Source organism: Homo sapiens, chromosome 2 (assembly GCF_000001405.40).
Source record: "Homo sapiens chromosome 2, GRCh38.p14 Primary Assembly".
Taxonomy (NCBI): Eukaryota; Metazoa; Chordata; class Mammalia; order Primates; family Hominidae; genus Homo; species Homo sapiens.
The window spans coordinates 88,290,815-88,309,195 of NC_000002.12; the positions used below are offsets into that span (position 1 = coordinate 88,290,815).

General features: G+C 40.7%; 1 non-coding gene across 1 annotated transcript; it reads left to right on the plus strand.

The window, feature by feature from the left end:
• Positions 1-16,545: 16,545 nt before the first annotated feature.
• On the plus strand, positions 16,546-16,649 carry LOC124906155 (small nucleolar RNA U13). The gene has a single exon (XR_007088744.1). It is a non-coding gene; the product is annotated as a small nucleolar RNA U13 (small nucleolar RNA).
• The last annotated feature ends 1,732 nt before the right edge of the window (positions 16,650-18,381 follow it).

An 18,381-nucleotide genomic window follows, 5' to 3' on the forward strand; every position in this document is an offset into this window, starting at 1 on the left:
CAGCACTTTGGGAGGCTGAGGTGGGTGGATCTCCTGACGTCAGGAGTTTGAGACCAGCCTGGCCAATATGGCAAAACCCTGTCTCAACTAAAAATACAAAATTAGCTGGCTTGGCGGTGGGAGCCTGTAATCCCAGGTACTCAGAAGACTGAGGCAGGAAACTAGCTTGAACCCGGGAGGCGGAGGTTGTAGTGAGTGAAGGTTGCGCTGAGACACGAAGCCAGCTGGACTTCTTGGGTGGAGTGGGGACTCGGAGAACTTTTCTGTCTTACAAGAGGATTCACTCTGTAGCTAGGATTGTAAAACACACCAATCAGCACTCTGTAGCTAGCAAGAGAATTGTAAAATGCACCAATCAGTGCTCTGTAAAATGCACCAATCAGTGCTCTGTAAAATGCACCAATCAGCGCTCTGTAAACGCACCAATCAGCAAGAGTCTAAAAGTAGCCAATCGCGGGGAGGATTGAAAAAAGGGCACTCTGATAGGACAGAAACAGGACATGGGCGGGGACAAACAAGGGAATAAAAGCTGGCCACCACAGCCAGCAGCAGCAACTGGCCCAGGTGCCGTTCCCTGCTGTGAAGGTTTGTTCTTTCTGTCTTCACAATAAATCTTGCTGCTGCTCACTTTTTGGGTCTGTGCCACCTTTAAGAGCCTGTAACATTCACCCTGAAGGTCGGTGGCTTCATTCTTGAAGTCAGTGAGACCAGGAACCCACCGGCAGGAACCAACTCCGGACACAGCGCCACTGCACTCCAGCATGGGCGACAGAGCAAGACTCAGTAAATAAATAAAACAAAAAAAGCATGCACGCACAAAGCAACAAAAACGTTTCAAAGAACATCTTGAAATCAGCCGGGAAGGAGAAAAACACACCAAACGATGATATAATTGATGATGATCTTCTGATAACAAAAAACAGGCTTTAAAACAAGGGAATGGGATCCGTAAGATTTAAGAGTGAGAGAGAGAATAAAACTTCTGAAAACATTTCTGTTTTATACCAACGAAAATACCATTTTAAAATGAGGGTCAAGTAATGCCATTTGCAGATAAATGAAAGATGAATTTGTTACCAGCAGAGCTACATTAAGACAAATGATAAAGAAGTTCTTTTGGCCAAAGGAAACTGACATCATATGAATTTGAGACACAGAGAAGAAAAAATAACATAGGAAACGTTAAATATGTGGGTAAGTACAAAAGACTGCATCTTTCCTTGGTTTCTTTAAAATGAATACTTTTGTGAAAAACATAGTATTATAAGATTTCAAATATGGAAATTAAAATATGGCAGAAGTTGCACAAAGGATAAGAGATGATAGATAAAATTTACAGTTACAAAACTTTAACATTTTTCTCATGAATTCGTACAATATTAATGAACAGTAGACTATGTTAAAGATGGATATGGTACTGTCTAAAACAACCACTAAAAACGATCCAACAAGTATAGTTAAAAAGCCAGCAGAATTAAAATGAAACACTAAAAAAAAAAATGATTAACTGAAAAGAAGGTAGGAAAGAAGGAACACAAAAACAGCAACAACAAAAAAAAAACAAGAAATTAATAGAAGACAAACAGCAAAATGACATACTTAGGAACCTAACAATATCTATATTAGATTATGGGTAGACTAGGCTGGGCATGGTAGCTCAACGCCTGCAATCCCAGCACTTTGGGAGGTTGAAGTGGGTGGATAACCTGAGGTCAGGAGTTCGAGAGCAGCCTGACCAACATGGTGAAACCCCGTCTCTACTAAAAATACAAAAAATTAGCCAGGCGTGGCAGCGGGTGCCTGTAATCCCAGCTACTCGGGAAGCTTGAGGCAGGGGAATCACTTGAACCTGGGAAGTGGAGGTTGCAGTGAGCCGAGATAGTGGCATTGCACTCCAGCCTGGGCAACAAGAGCAAAACTCCGTCTCAAAACGAAACAAAACAAAACAAAACAACAAAGAAAAAAATACAGATAGACTAAACTTACCAATGTAAATCCAGAGATTGTCAGAATGGTTAAAAAAAGCAGTCTCAAGTATATACCAACTAAAAGTAATACACTTAAAATGTAAAAACACGGGTAGCTTTCAAGTAAAAGAATGAGGAATATATACCATATATTCTGTAAGCATATAAAAACTAGTATGATTATGTTAATACTAGAAAATTTGACTTCAAGACAAAACTTCAATATTAGCAAGAATAAAGGACATTTAATAGTGATAAAGGGGTCAATTCATCAAGAAGACAAAACAATCTTAAATGTATGTGCATCTAATAATAGAGTTAGTGAAATAAAAACTGATAGAACTAAAAGGATAAATTGATAAATGTATAATCAGAGGTCAAGATTTTTAACACCAACTCTCAGCCATCAACAGAATAACGAGGCAATAAATTAGTCAAGATAGAGATTTGAACATTATCAATTAACTTGTCCCAATTGTCATTTATATAACACTCTATCCAACTACAACAGAATCACATTATTTTCAAGTGCACATGGAATTCACCAACATAGAGCATGTACTAGGCCATTAAATAGGTTTCCATACATTTTTTTAAATTGAAATATTACAGAATATATCTGTGACCACATGGAATTAAATTAGAAATCAATAACAATAAAACAGAAAAACCAAAGTATGTGGAACTTAAACAATACGTTTTCATTTAATTTAATTATTTAAAAATTTTTTATTTTATTTTAGATTCAGGGGGTACATGTGTATGTTGGTTGAATGGGTATATTGTATGCTGGTGGGGATTGGGCTTCTAGTGTACCCGTTACCCAAATAGTGAACATTGTACTGGATAAGTAATTTTTCTTTTTTTTTTTTTGAGACGGAGTCTCACTCTGTTGCCCAGGCTGGAGTGAAGTGGCGCAATCTCGGCTCACTGCAAGCTCCGCCTCCTGGGTTCATGCCATTCTCCTGCCTCAGCCTCCCTAGTAGCTGAGACTACAGGCGCCTACCACCATGCCTGGCTAATTTTTTGTATTTTTAGTAGAGACAAGGTTTCACCGTGTTAGCCAGGATGGTCTCGATCTCCTGACCTCATGATCCGCCCGCCTTGGCCTCCCAAAGTGCTGGGATGACAGGCGTGAGCCACCGCGCCCGGCCAGGATAAGTAATTTTTCAACCCTTGCTTCCCTCCTAGCCTCCCCTCCCTTAAAGTCCCCAGTGTCTATTATTTCCATCTTTAGGTCCATAAACAATACATCTTTAAAACAATCCATGGATTAAGGAAGAAATCACAGAAAATCTAGAAAATATTATGAAGCAAGTGAAAATATAATCACAAAATATCAAAATTTTTTGGATTTACCTAAAGGAGTGCAATTTAAAAACAATTATCTAAGTTTGTGCTTTAAGAAACCAGATAAAGAGAGAAATTAAACCCAAAGTAAGCAGAAAGAAGGAAATGTTTTAAAAGCAGAAATAATTGAAATACAAAACAGACAATAAAGAAAATTAATAAAGCCAAAGTTTAGTTCTTTGAAAATATTAATAAAGTCGATAAATCCTACTAAGTTTGCTTTCAACCGTTTATAATAGCAAAAAATATGATAATCAGCCTGGCTAACATGGTGAAACCTTGTCTCTATTAAAAAGACAAAAAAAATTGCCAGACGTGGTGGTGGGTCCCTGTAATCCCAGCTACTCGGGAGGCTAAGGCAGGAGAATTGCTTGAACCCCAGAGGCAGAGGTTGCAATGAGCCAAGATCATGCCACTGCCCTCCAGTCTGGGTGACAGAGTAAAACTCCATCTCAAATAAATAAATATATGTGTGTGTGTGTGTGTGTGTGTGTGTGTGTATATATATACATATATATATACACATACATATATATACACATATATACGTGTATATATATATATGTATATACACACACACATTTGAAACGTTAATAAGAGATTAAGTAATAATTCATAGCCCATCCATAGGACGGAATACCATATAACTGGGAAAAAGTATAGTGTCAATGGATACTTGATGGTATTGAAAAATGATTATGTTTTGTGTAAATCAAGGTGTGATTACAAAACAATATCTGATGCTTGATCTCAATCTTAGAAAAAGACAAATATTCATTTAAAAAACATTAGAAGGATGTAGGCTGTTTACTAACAATAATAAACTTTGCATGTTAATGTTATGTGATTTTAATGTGGGAGAGGTTATTATATATATTCTAGATTTCTACAATTAATATGCATTGTTTTATCATTAGAAAAAGAATGTTTTCAAAAGTTATTTTTTGATATTGGATACTCAGAGTCTATGTTAGTGTACTGTGTTTAATCTAACGTGTATTCCCAAAATTTTGTGAATATTTTTTGTAAATCAAACTCTGTTTTCTCTAGCTCACCATATGCTACTATGTAAAGACACAATCTAAGGCCTTTTGTAGTGTGAATCATCTTTTGTAATCTATCCATAGTTTATTTGATTCAAAAGTTAAGATTTTCAAAATGGAGCTGTATTCTATATTTTGTGTGTCCTTGCTGGTTCAAGTATGCCTTCCATTCAATGTCTGAGCCAGATTTTTGGTGTCTGAGTGAATGGTATTCTGATCAAAGAGGGGATGAAAGAATCTGGAATCCTGTGGATAGAACCTCACTCAGGCCATTGCAGAAAATCAGCTGTGCCAGTTCTTCAGCCATGTGACTTGTATTGCTTTCTTCTTATTACCTTGGCTTTAACATCCTGGAGACCTCACCTTCTCCTGGACACTCTTACCATGGGCTATTACAATTTCATTAGGGAAGGGGTGTATCTACAGAAGAAAATGTCTTTAAAAGATGCCTTAGCAGGGTGATAATGAAAAAAAAAAAGGTTTGAGATACACTGTTTCAAGATGTCATAAAGAAGCTTAAGAAAACTAGTGGAAGAAACCAGGGATGCCTTGACAGAGGATGTACAGTTTGAAAAGGGACTTGACACTGAGAAGGATTTTGGTTGTTGGAGATTAGGGGAGGAGAGGTCTCTAGGTGGAGGGAATGGGTGAATAGGATTATGGAGGTAGGAAAAGGGCTATCCTCCAGCTAAAAGAGCAAACATTCCACTCCCAATGGAGCAGAGGCCCAAAGCAGGGAGTCCTGGAAGCTTCCACAGGAAGTATAGACTATTTCCTATGCATGTAAAATATCTCCCGAACTAGAACTGCTCTTCTAGGTCTTTTGCTTCTTTCTAGCTTCACCTCCCTGGGAGTCCTATATGTAGCCAGAATATGAGCAAACTGAATTAGGAACATTTTGGCTTTGACCACGCCTTTGTAATCAGCACTTCCTCCCCCTCACTCTCCAGGGTCGTGCTCATTTTCCCCTGGCTGCTCAGGGTCTGTGCAAGAACACGCCTTGGTGATCATGGTGTCATTTCTACAGGCCGTGTATCATTGTTACTCATATGTGAGACTTTTGCTATATATATTCTCCATGCAAAGGGGAGCTCCCATTTGGGAGAGGAGGCTAGAGTGGGGTTGGGGCTGAGAAACTGGGCTGAGACAGGTTTGTGCACTCACTGGCATCTGGCTGATGTCAATAGTCTCTGCTATGAAAATGAGCAAAAAACAAAACAAAAAATAACAACCAAAACCAACTGTCTTGTCTAGACCAGAAACCAGAACTCAGTGGGAGGTCGCTAAAGGGTGTGGCGCAGCTGGAAACAGAAAAATTCATTTCATCTGGCCTTAAACAGAACAGGATATTCATCAGACTAGCTTCAGGAAGGCAGGCAACAGCACAGAGCCCAGGGGCCAAAAAGTTGCTAAGAGAGAGACCAAGACCAAGAGCTGCTCACAGCCTCTGTTAGGCAAATGAGGGCTGGGAATTGGAGATTGAGCATCAGGAGAAAACGTGTACTTTGCACATCGATTTTTAGTGATGCTTTCTGTTTCATTTATTTCCTTTTGGAAATAGTTGAACCTTAATTGGCCTGGGAGTCAGACTGTTCTTTCCTAGTCCGTTCAGCTTCCCACTCTCAGAGAGGACTTTTCTACATCTTGTCTCTGCAAAGCTCCTTGCTCTGCCTTAATCTTCCTGCTGAGGAAACTGGTGCAAACAGAAGAGAAGGTCCACAGACTCCCACCATAGCCACCCGCTCCCAGCAGCAGCCTCCATGTCCTCTGCTCACCTACTCGCTGCCATTCTTTTTCCTGTCAAAAGCCAATTTGGGGGGCAGGGGGAAGGGTGGCATGCACCTGTAGTCCCAGCAACTTGGGAGACTGAAGCAGGAGGATCGTTTGAGCCTGGGAGTTCGAGGTCACAGTGAGCAAGAACCCATCTCTTTAAATAAATAAATAAATGGGAAAAAAGAAGAAAACAAAAAGGTGATTCTAATTGTGCACTAGGCCTTGTCCTGTGACTCAAGGACATCCTCAGTTGGTCTCTGCTCATTCTAAACACCAGTTTCTCACCTGCTCTGTGTCACTCCCATCAGCTTATAAACATATTATTTCTCCCATTTTAAAAATTTTTTTATATTTGCAAACTGAAAGTGTTATATAATATTTCTCCCATTTTGAACAACAGTAACAACAAATATCTCTTAACAGTCATCACAATTCTTTGTTCCTCTTTGTCTTCAGAAGAATTACCCCAAACTCCCTAATTGCGGTGGCCGCGTCCCTGTCTTCATCCTAATTGACCTGTCAGTAACAGATGACCCTGGCTCTGGCTCATCCTCTTTTGCTTCCAGGATCTACATTCACTTCATTTTCCTCTATCTTTCCTTTTAAAAAAAAAAAAAAAGAGAGAGAGAGAGGGAGAAGGTCTTTCTTTGTTGCTCAAGCTGGAGTGCAGTGGTACAGTCATAATTCATTGTAGCCTGAAACTCCTGGCTCAAGGGATCGATCCTTCTGCCTCGGCCTAGCCAAGCACTGGGATTACAGGCATGAGCCACTGCACTAAACTTCCTTTTCCCCCTTTCTCACTGGCTGCCCCTCAGTCCCCTGAGTGGCTCCCTCTTCTCTACCCTTCAATGAAGGAAGGCATATTCATTTTCTGTTGCTGCTGTACAAGTTGCCACAAACGTGGTGTCTTAAACAATACAAATTTATTATCTTACAGTTCTGGAGGTCAGAAGTCCAATATGGGTCTCCCTGGGCTAAAAAGGTGTCCGCAGGGCTGTGTTACTTTCTGGAGGCTATAGGGGAGAATCTATATCTTTGCTGTTTCCAGCTCCTGGAGGCTGTCTGCATTCCTTGGCTCTTGGTTCCCTTACTCCATCTTCAAAGCCAGCAATGTTACATCTCTGACTCTTCTTCCACTGTTACAGATTTCTCTGACCATAGCGGGGAAAGGGTCTCCACTTTTAAAAACCCATGTGATTAGATTGGGTTCATCTGGAAAATCCAGGATAATCTCCTCATCCAAAAGTCCTTAACTTTCATCACATCTGCAAAGTCCTTTTTGCCATTTATGATAACATAGTAACAAGTTCAGGAGCTTGGACATCTTTGGGGGCTGTTATTCTGCCTCCGCAGGCATTCTTCTTCTTCTTCTATCTACTCTCACTGTCTGATGATCTAATCCAGGCTCATGGATAACACTAGTCAATGACTCCTAAATCTCTCCAAGCCCTTCCTCTCTCCCAGACTAAATTTCTTTACTCCACTGATGATGAGATACCTCCAGTCAGCTGCCTAATAAGTCACAAACTCAATCTGTACAAAACCAAATGCCTGATCTTCCCCCCAAATATGCTCCTTCCCTAGACTTTGCCATCTCTGTTGATGGTAGACTTTCAGTTGCCTAGTCCAACAATCTTGGAACTATCTTTGACTCCTCTTTTTTTCTCCCATACACGTCATTCATTCCATGTATCCGAAAATCTTGTCTTTACCTTAGAAATGTATACCAGATTGCTTCAAAATAATTCAGCATTTGTTGGGGTGGGGAGAAGGTGAGGGGAGAGGGCATTTAAATGAAACAGGTTTGCTCATGTTCTGGTAATGGTTGAAGCAGAGTGATGGGTACATGGAGGCTTATTGTATTATACTATTATCGGTACTTTGTGCATGTCTGAAATTTTCCATAATACAATGTTCTTAGTTGCATTTGCCATTGAACTCAGCAATCCCATTCCTTTAGAATCTATCCCATATTAGGCCGGATGCGGTGGCTCACACCTGTAATCCCAGCACTTTGGGAGGCCGAGGTGGGTGGATCACGAGATCAGGAGTTCAAGACCAGCCTGGCCAAGATGGTGAAACACCATCTCTCCTGAAAATACAAAAAAAAAAAATTAGCCAGGCACGGTGGCAGGCGCCTGTAATCCCAGCAACTCGGGAGGCTGAGGCAGGAGAATTGCTTGAACTCGGAGGGTGGAGGTTGCAGTGAGCTGGGATCATGCCACTGCACTCTTCTGGGCAACAGAGTGAGACTCCATCTCAAAAAAAAAAAAAAAGAATCTATCCATATTAGTAAAAGCAGTAGTGCATACTAATACATATATATTGGCTGGGCGTGCTAGCTCATGCCTGTAATCCTAACACTTTGGGAGGCCAAGGTGGTAGGATCACTTGAGCTCAGGAGTTCAAAACCAGCCCAGTCAACGTAGCGAAACCTAGTCTCTTAAAAAAACAATAAATAACAGAATTAAAAATACATATACATGGATCTTTACTTCAGCATTGTTTTCAAAGACACAAATAGTGAAAATGAAGTGAAGAGATAACAATGTGGATACAAAGGGATACCTCCTTTTATTGCACTTTGCCTCATTGTACCTCACAGATACTACATCTTTTACAACTAATTGAAGGTTGTGACAACCCTGTGTTGAGCAAGCCTATTGGCACCATTTTTCCAACAGCATGTGCTCACTTTTTGTCTTTGTGTCACATTTTGAGAATTCTCACAATATTTCAAACTTTATTATTATTATTATAGCTGTTATTGTGATTTGTCATCAGTGATCTTTGATATTACTGTTGCAATCATTTTGGACACCACAGCCACACCTGTATAAGACAGTGAACTTATTTAATAAATGTGTTTCTGACTGCCCCACCGACCAGCCATTCCCCTCTCTCTCTCCCTCTCCTCAGACCTTCCTGTTCCCTAAGACACAACAATATTGAAATTAGGCCAATTAATAACCTACAATGGTCTGTAAACATTCAAGTGAAAGAAAGAGTCACAAGTCTCTCACTTTAAACCAAAAGCTAGAAATAATTAAGCTTAGTGAGGAAGGCATACCTAAAGCTGAGACAGACTGAAAGCTAGCCAAGTTGTGGATGCAAAGAAATAGTTCTTGAAGGAAATTAAAAGTGCTACTTCAATGAACACATTAATTATAAGAAAGCGAAACAGCCTTATTGCTGATAGGGAGAGAGTTTGAGTGGTCTGGATAAATGATCAAACCAGCCACAACATTCCCTTAAGCCAAAGCCTAATCCAGAGCAAGGCCCTAATGCTGTCCAATTCTGTGAAGGCTGAGGGAGGTGAGGAAGCTGTGGCAGAAAAGTGAGAAACTGCTAGAGGTTGATTAATGAGGTTTAAAGAAAGAAGCCGTCTCCATAACATAAAAATGCAAGGTGAAGTAGCAAGTGCTGATGTAGAAGCTGAAGCAAGTTAGCAAAAAATCTAGCTAAGATCACTGATGAAGGTGACTACGCTAAATAACAGGTTTTCAGTGTAGACAAACAGCCTTCTATTGGAAGAAGACACCACCTAGGACTTTCATAGCTAGAGAGGAGAAGCCAATATCTGTCTTCAAAGCTTCAAAGGGCAGGCTGACTTTCTTGTTAGGGGCTAATGCAGCTGATGACTTTAAGTTGAAGCCAATGCTCATATGCCATTACAAAATTCCTAGGACTAAATCTACTCTGTCTGTGCTCTATAAATGGAACAACGATGCCTGGATGACAGCACACCTGTTTACAGCATGATTTACTGAATATTTTAAGCCCACTTTTGAAAACTACTGCTCAGGAAAAAAAAAAAGATTTCTCTCAAAATATAATTGCTCATTGACCATGCACCTAAACACCTAAGAGCTCTGATGGAGATGTAAAACGAAATTAACATTATTTTCATGCCTGCTGACAAAACATCCATTCTGTAGTCCCTGAAGCAAGGAGCAATTTTGACTTTCAAGTCTTATTTTTTAAGAAATAAATTTCATATGGTTATAATTGCCATAGGTAGTGATTTCTCTGGGCAAAGTAAATTGAAAACCTTCTGGAAAGGATTCACCATTCTAAATGTCATTAAGAATATTTGTGATTCAGGGAGGAGGTCAAAATATCAACATACATATGAGTTTGGAAGAAGTTGATTCCAATTCTCATAAATCACTTTGAGGAGTTCAAGACTTTGGTGGAGGAAGTAACTGCAGATGTGCTGGAAATAGAAAGAGGACTAGAATTAGAAATGGAGCCTGAGGATATGACTGAATTGCTGCAATCTCATGATCAAACTTGAACAGTCAAGGAGTTGCTTCTTATGGATGAGCAAAGAACATGATTTCCTGAGATGAGACCTACTTTCTTTTTTTTTTTTTTTTTTTTTTTTTTTTTTTGAGACGGAGTCTCGCTCTGTCGCCCAGGCTGGAGTGCAGTGGCGGGATCTCGGCTCACTGCAAGCTCCGCCTCCCGGGTTCACGCCATTCTCCTGCCTCAGCCTCCCAAGTAGCTGGGACTACAGGCGCCCGCCACTACGCCCGGCTAATTTTTTTGTATTTTTAGTAGAGACGGGGTTTCACCGTTTTAGCCGGGATGGTCTCGATCTCCTGACCTCGTGATCCGCCCGCCTCGGCCTCCCAAAGTGCTGGGATTACAGGCGTGAGCCACCGCGCCCGGCCGAGACCTACTTTCTTGAGATGGCGAAGATGCTGTGAGCATTGTTGAAATGACAACACATTTAAGATAGCACATAAACTTAGTTGATAAATTAGGGGCAGAGTTTGAGGACTGAGTCCAATTTTGAAAGAAGTTCTACTGTGGGTAAAAATGCTATCAGATAGCATCGCATGCTGCAGAGAAATCTTTTGTGAAAGAAAGACCCAATGGATGCAGCAAACTTCACTGTGGTCTTATTTTAAGAAACTGCAGGCCACACACCCTGGCTCACACCTATAATCCTAGCACTTTGGGCGTCCAAGGTGGGCAGATCGCTTGAGCTCCAGAGTTCAAGAGCAGCCTGGGCAACATGGTAAAACCCTGTCTTTACAAAAAATACAAAAATTAGCCAGGTGTTGTGGTGTGCACCTATGCGCCTATAGACCCAGCTCTTCGGGGTGCTGAGGCGGGAGGATTGCTTGAATCCAGGAGACAGAGGTTGCAGTGAGCCAAGATTGTGCTACTGCACTCCAGCCTGGGCAACAAAGTGAGACCCTGTCTCAGACAAAAACAAAAACAAAAAACTGCTATCTGATGAGCTTTGGCCCATTGTAGTAATCTACAAATTCATCAACTAGAAGAGAGAGAGAGAGAGAAAGAAAGAAAGAGAAAGAAAGAGAGAAGAGAGAGAAAGAAAGAAAGAGAGAGAAAGAAAGAAAGAAATTGCCACAGCCACCCCATCCTTTGGCAACCACCACCCTGATTAGTCAGCAGTCATTAACATGGAGCCAAGACCCTCCACCACCAAAAAGATTACAAGTTGCTGAAGTCTCAGACAATCATTAGCTTTTTTTTTTTTCCGAGACGGAGTCTCGCTCTGTCACCCAGGCTGGAGTGCAATGGCGCGATCTAGGCTCACTGCAACCTCCGCCTCCTGGGTTCAAGTGATTCTCCTGCCTCAGCCTCCCATGTAGGTGGGACTACAGGCGCGTGCCACCATGCCCAGCTAATTTTTGTATTTTTAGTAGAGACGAGGTTTCACCATGCTGGCCAGACTGGTGTGGAACTCCTGACCACGTGATCCGTGCACCTTGGCCTCCCAAAGTGCTGGGATTACAGGCGTGAGCCACTGTGCCCGGCCAAGAATTTTATAGATAAGCTATATGCATTTTGTAGACATAATGCTATTGCACATTTAATAAACTACAGCATAGTAGAAATATAACTTTCATACGCACTGGGAAACCAGAAAATGTGTGTGACTTGCTTTATTGCGATAGTCACTTTATGGAGATAGTCTGGAACTGAACCTACAATATCTGTAGGTATGACTGCACAGTGGTTGAATACATTTCTGAATGTACACTGTGAGGCATCTCACTACCACTATAAGAATTAACTTTATATTAGATGATTTGGTGAAGTTTCCATAATTTACTGATAAGTGAGAAAAGCAAGATGTATCTAATATGATGCAATTTCTATAAAACAAAAATGATAGTAATTCTATTATATATATTAATGCCAAAAAAATTCAAAACAAAATAAACAAGGTATCCAAGATCTAATGGCTTCTAACCATCTCAATTCCATTCATTGTGCTGCAAGCTGCCACTGTCTCTCACCTGGATTCCTACGCTGGCCTTCTAACGGTTCTCACTGATTCTACCCCTGCCCTCCACAGTTTGATCTCATCACAGTGACCAAAATGCTCAAAATCCAGCAATGGCTCTCATTTTCACTCGAGTAAAAGCCGAAGTCCTGACAATTGCCTCTGAGGTTCCGCGTGATCATCTGCCCAGACACAGCCCCATCCTTGCTTCTCTGACTTCATAGCCCACTGCTCCCCTCTTCCTCACATAGCTCCAGCCACACTGCTCTCCTAGCACGCTTCTGCCTCAGGGCCTTTGCTCCACCTCATTTATCTTTCTGGAAACTCTTGTCTCATATATCTGCTTAGCTTCCTCCCTAAGTTTCTTCAAGTCACCTTTTCAGTGAGGTCCAAAGTGACTTCTCTATTAATAATAATAATAAAAAAAATCTGCTTCACACCTTGCTGATCTATTTTGCCCTGTTTTTTTTAAAAAGGCACTTTTGATATATTATACTATAAAATTGATATATTTACAATGTTCATGTTTATTGTCTTTCTTCATCATCAGAATATAAGCTTCTTGAGGACAGAGATCTTTGTTTTTTCATGGATGCACCTCCAGCACCTGGAACAGTGTCTGGCATAAGTAAGATTCAATAAAGATCTCCAGTGCTGCATAAAAAGCTAATCAAGAAGGCAAAGATCTTAATAGAATTTGCTCTAAAAATGCTTTCTTGATGAAAATTCATCAATGTTGCTAGAGATCACTTTGATATTTAGGGATTTGTTTTGTTTTTGAAATGGCACTTCTCATGCAGAGGGTTGAGGTGATCGTCCTCCTCAGTTGAGGCATATCGTCATTGGAAGTCCTTGCAAGGTCACTCTCTTGTTTGAGAAATCCTTACGTCACCCACTCATCTACCCATCCTCCCACCCCCATCTCCCTATCCATCCCCCCATCCATCCCTCCATCCATCCCTCCATCCATCCCTCCATCCATCCCCCCATCCATCCCTCCAGCCATCCATTCATCCCTTTATTCATACACTTTTCTTTCCATTTCTTAGTTCCATTCCCCTTCCCCCAGATGAAATTGTTTTGATATTTTAGATATGTATCCTTCTTTTGTATATGTTCTGGTATAACATCCATTTTTATGGACACGTGTTTTAAAATTGTATATATTTAATTCCGTTTCTGCTTTTCTCAACATTTTTAAGATCTAGCCATGTTGCTATCTGTATGTCTGGACTAATGCTTTTAACTGCTTCAGATATATATGACACATTTTACTAATCCAGTTCTCAAGTGATGGATAACCAGAATGCTTCCAACTGTCAACTGCCAAAGCAACCCCATATGTATATGAGAATTCTGTGGGGGCTACCTATCCAGGTACAGAACTGAGAAGTTTTCAGAATGACTTCATCAACCTATACACCCACCAGTGGCACATGACAATTCCTAAATCCCTGATCTCCAGTGCCACCTGGCATTATCTAGATGTTTAATTTTTTCCAAGTCTAATAGCTAAAGTGTATTTTCTGGCAGTTATTCTTTTAATTTGCGTTTCTCTGATTACCATTAATTTGACTACTTATATGCTCTTTAGCCTTTTGCATTTAGTGTTTTTGTTGGTTTTTCTCAGGGGGTCCTTTTGCCTAATAATTTGTGCTTTGGAGATTTTGGTTGAAAATTGAAAACAAAGTTGGAAGCAGTGGCACATGCCTGTAATCCCAACTGCTCAGGAGACTGAGGCCAGAGGATCACTTGAGCCCAGGAGTTTGAGGCTGCAGTTAGCAATGATTGTGCCATTGCATTCCAGCATGGGTAACAGAGTGAGATCCTATTTCAAAAAAAAAAAAAAATTATGTCACAGAGTTTTACTTTCCACATTCCATGTCTGTCTGTCTGTCTGTCTGTCTGACTACAGCCAAAATAGGGAGTGTGATGTGGCATCTCATTATGATTTGCATTTTCCCAATGACCAATAATGTTGACCACTTTTCATGTGCTTATTGGCATTGATAATGGAAAAATGCCTGTTCAAATCTTTTGCCCATTTAAAAAATTGGGTTGTTTGCCTTTCTTCACTTTATTTTAAAGCCCCATTCTTGACTGAAAATTCCTCCAATCCTGGTATCACCAGAAGCTTCAGGATTAGACAGATATTCCCGCTACCAGCATCAGCACCAAAAATCCCCCGTGGTAGGGCTATTCCTTCTCCCTCCATTACTCCTTTCTCTGCCACTAGGAAGGAAAACTAGTATATCCATGACATTCTCTATAAGCATCACCAGGAAGGGCCCTGATTCGCTATACAAGATAGAGGTCTTCCAATGATGTTCCTGAAGAATCCTGGCATCCTCAAAGCAGACCAAGGTTTTCTGCAGCTAAAGTAGTATAAGTCTAAAGTCATTTCCTAGACTTTCAGAGAAAAAAATTAATGACTATGTTTTCTAATTTTAACTCTTTCTCCTGGAATTTTTACTTCAAACTGAAGCACCTATTTTTACTTGCTTATGCTAGAAATTAATATAACATGATGCTTGACTAGCAAAAAATTATATATTTTATTTGCAGAATACAAATATCATTATTTCATTATGTTCTACAGAAAACACAAGGACCCTAGATGCTGAACAATTTTGAGGACCATAAATGCAGGAAATAGAAAGGACTTAGAAGACATTATTCTCCTTCACAAAGTGTGGCACCACTGCTCCCCCCAGGCACTCAGGCCGAAATATTATTGACGATTTGCTCTTTCTTCTTCCCCTCCTCATTCAACCAGTCATCACTTTCTAGAATATTTGCAATGCTGTCTTTTCATCTCCATCTTATCTGCCATTGCCCTGGTCCAGGGCCTCTAATTCCCCTTTCTGGACTACTGTCATAAGCCCTAATTGGTGTCCTTGCCTCCAGCCTCTACACTGCTACTAAGTAGTGAATCACATTTGAAATTAATCAATGTTATAATCAATTACTTCAGTCTCTGCTTTCCCAAGAGAGTAACTCCATCAAAGAAAGGATGGTGCCCATCCTGTTCAACACTGCATCTGTAATGCCCAGAACAATGACTGGCATGAGATTGGAAAGGCAGTGGGTCAATGAAAGAATGAATGAAGAACAAACGAATGAATGATTTCAAACTGCAAAAGTACATATCACACAACTCTGGTGACTGTCCTTCCTACCTCCACAGTAGAAAAGATAAAGTCCATACTCCCCAGCTTGGCACACAAGGCCCTCCTTGACTTGACCTCTCTACTACTCCTTGCTTATCTCAGCCAGTCCCTTCCTTGAATTTTATGTATCAAAATATCTTGGAAAATTCCATACTTTTTATCTCTTCTATGTCTCTGCTCACTTCTTTTTTTTTTTTTTTTGAGACGGAGTCTCGCTCTGTCGCCCAGGCTGGAGTGCAGTGGCGGGATCTCGGCTCACTGCAAGCTCCGCCTCCCGGGTTCACGCCATTCTCCTGCCTCAGCCTCCCAAGTAGCTGGGACTACAGGCGCCCGCCACTACGCCCGGCTAATTTTTTGTATTTTTTTTAGTAGAGACGGGGTTTCACCGTTTTAGCCGGGATGGTCTCGATCTCCTGACCTCGTGATCCGCCCGCCTCGGCCTCCCAAAGTGCTGGGATTACAGGCGTGAGCCACTCTGCTCACTTCTTTATGCCTGAAATGTCCTTACCCAATATTCCATCCTCTATCTCCTTTTCACCAAACTCTTTTCTCCCTTTTAAAAGCATAGAGAACACTGTCCATTGTGTTCTACCACATAGATTTATCAAAGCTAAGCATTTTGCCTTATTTACTCCAACTTTTCTTTAAGAAATAAAGCACTGTAAATACAGTTGAACCTCCTTCTTCAATCTCATCCCCTTCTCTTTTTCTTCAGATGCATCTGTTATCTTGCTTTTGGTGTTAACCATTCACATATATATATTTCATATTTTTAATTGGGATTTTGAAAGCCCCCCCCTACTGGTGACTGTCATGTTTTAGCCTAGATGAAGAGTCTTCCAAAGTCCAGAGAGGTCAAGACTTGCATGAGGTCACTTAGCAAGGTAAGACCAAGATAGCTCACGAGCCCAGGACTCTGTCTCTTAGTTCATGTTTTCCCAATACACCATGGTGCATCTTTTAAACAATGTGTATAGATCCTTTTGCAGCTCATAAGTGTGATGATTGGGTTTTCACACTCATGTGTAAGATGTGTTTCCCTCAAACCTTGCTATGATATCAGCACAGTACCTATCTGACATGAAAAACATAAAATATTTTTAAATGGGCTGGGTGCAGTGGCTCACGCCTGTAATCCCAGCGCTTTGGGATGCCAAGGCAGGTGGGTCACTTGAGGTCAGGAGTTCGAAACCAGCCTGACCAACATGGTGAAACCCCGTCTCTACTAAAAATACAAAAATTAGTTGGGCATGGTTGTGGGTGCCTGTAATCCCAGCTACTCGGGAGGCTGAGGCGGGAGAATCGCTTGAACCTAGAAGACGGAGGTTGCAGTGAGCCAAAATAGCGCCACTGCACTCCAGCCCGGGTGACAAAGCTGGACTTCATCTCCAAAAAAAAAAAAAAGGTAATGTATATGAATGAAATAGATACCATACACTATGTCTCAGAGATAGTGCTAGACATATATATATATGTGTGTGTGTGTGTGTGTGTGTGTGTGTATTAGTTCATCCAACCCTCACTCTAGAGAAGAGAAACTGAGACTCAGAGAGGAGGTGAAGTCACCTTCCCTATGTTAACCCAGCTAGCAGGTAGCAGAGGTAAAATTGGCTCCCCAGGGCTGCCTGACTTCTAATGCTGCCCTCTGGTGGGGACAGTATGGAAAAGACATGAGTTTTGAAAGCAGAAATCCCAAGGTTTGTGTCTGGTTCCTCCCCTCCCTGCCCAGAGAATCCTGGGTAAGTTAAGTCCATTTAAAGTACCATTTATTGACCCTTCACTAAGCACCAGCAATCTTTACACATCACCTCATTTAGTTCCCACAGCCAAACTCAAAGAGAAATATTATTTTTTCTCCATTTTCAGAGGGAGAAGTTGAGACTCAGGGAGAACATACCATTAACAAGGAGCAAAGCCTGAAGCAGGACTCAGGATCACCAGCACCAGAGACTGTGCCGCGAAATACCCCCAGCACGCTTTTTTTTCCTTCCTCTCATGGCTTACGTGTTTTTTTAATTTCATCTTTGAAATTATCATGTAGTTTGTATATAACATATCTGATTAAAGTCTTGTAGCCAAAATATACAAAAACCTCTTAAAACTTAATAAGAAAACAAATTCTCCAATGAAAAATGAGCAAGAGAGCTGAACACACATTTTATTAAAGAAGATACACAGATGGAAAATAAGCATAGGAAAAAGTGTTCAATGTCTTTTGTCATTAGAAAAAATGCAAATTAAAACTACAGTGAGATACCACTACATACCTATTAAAATGGCTAAAATCCATAAATCTGAAAATACCAAAGACAAAGATGCAGAGAAATAGGAACTCTCATATTTTCTTGGTGGGAATACAAAATGGTGTAGTCACTTTGGAAAACATTTGACAGTCGTCAAAATGTTAAACATAGTTACCTTATGACCAGCAGTTCCACTCCTATATGTATAACCAACAGAATTGAAAATATATGTCCACACACAAAAAAATTGTTTAAAATGTTCATAGCAGTGGGCATGGCGGCACATGCCTGAAGTCCCAGGTACTTGGGAGGCTGAGGCTAAAAGATCCCATGGCCCAGGAGTTCCAGATCATAGTGTGTGATGATCATGCCTGTGAATAGCCATTGCATTCCAGCTTGGGCAACACAGAAGGACCCCACTGCTAAAAAAATAAGAAATGGAATGTCCACAGCATCATTATTGACAACAGTCAAAAAGTGGAAGCAACCCAAATGTTCATTAACTTATGAATGGATATGCAAAATGTGGCAAATCCATACAATGGAATATTATTAGGTGATAAAAAAGAA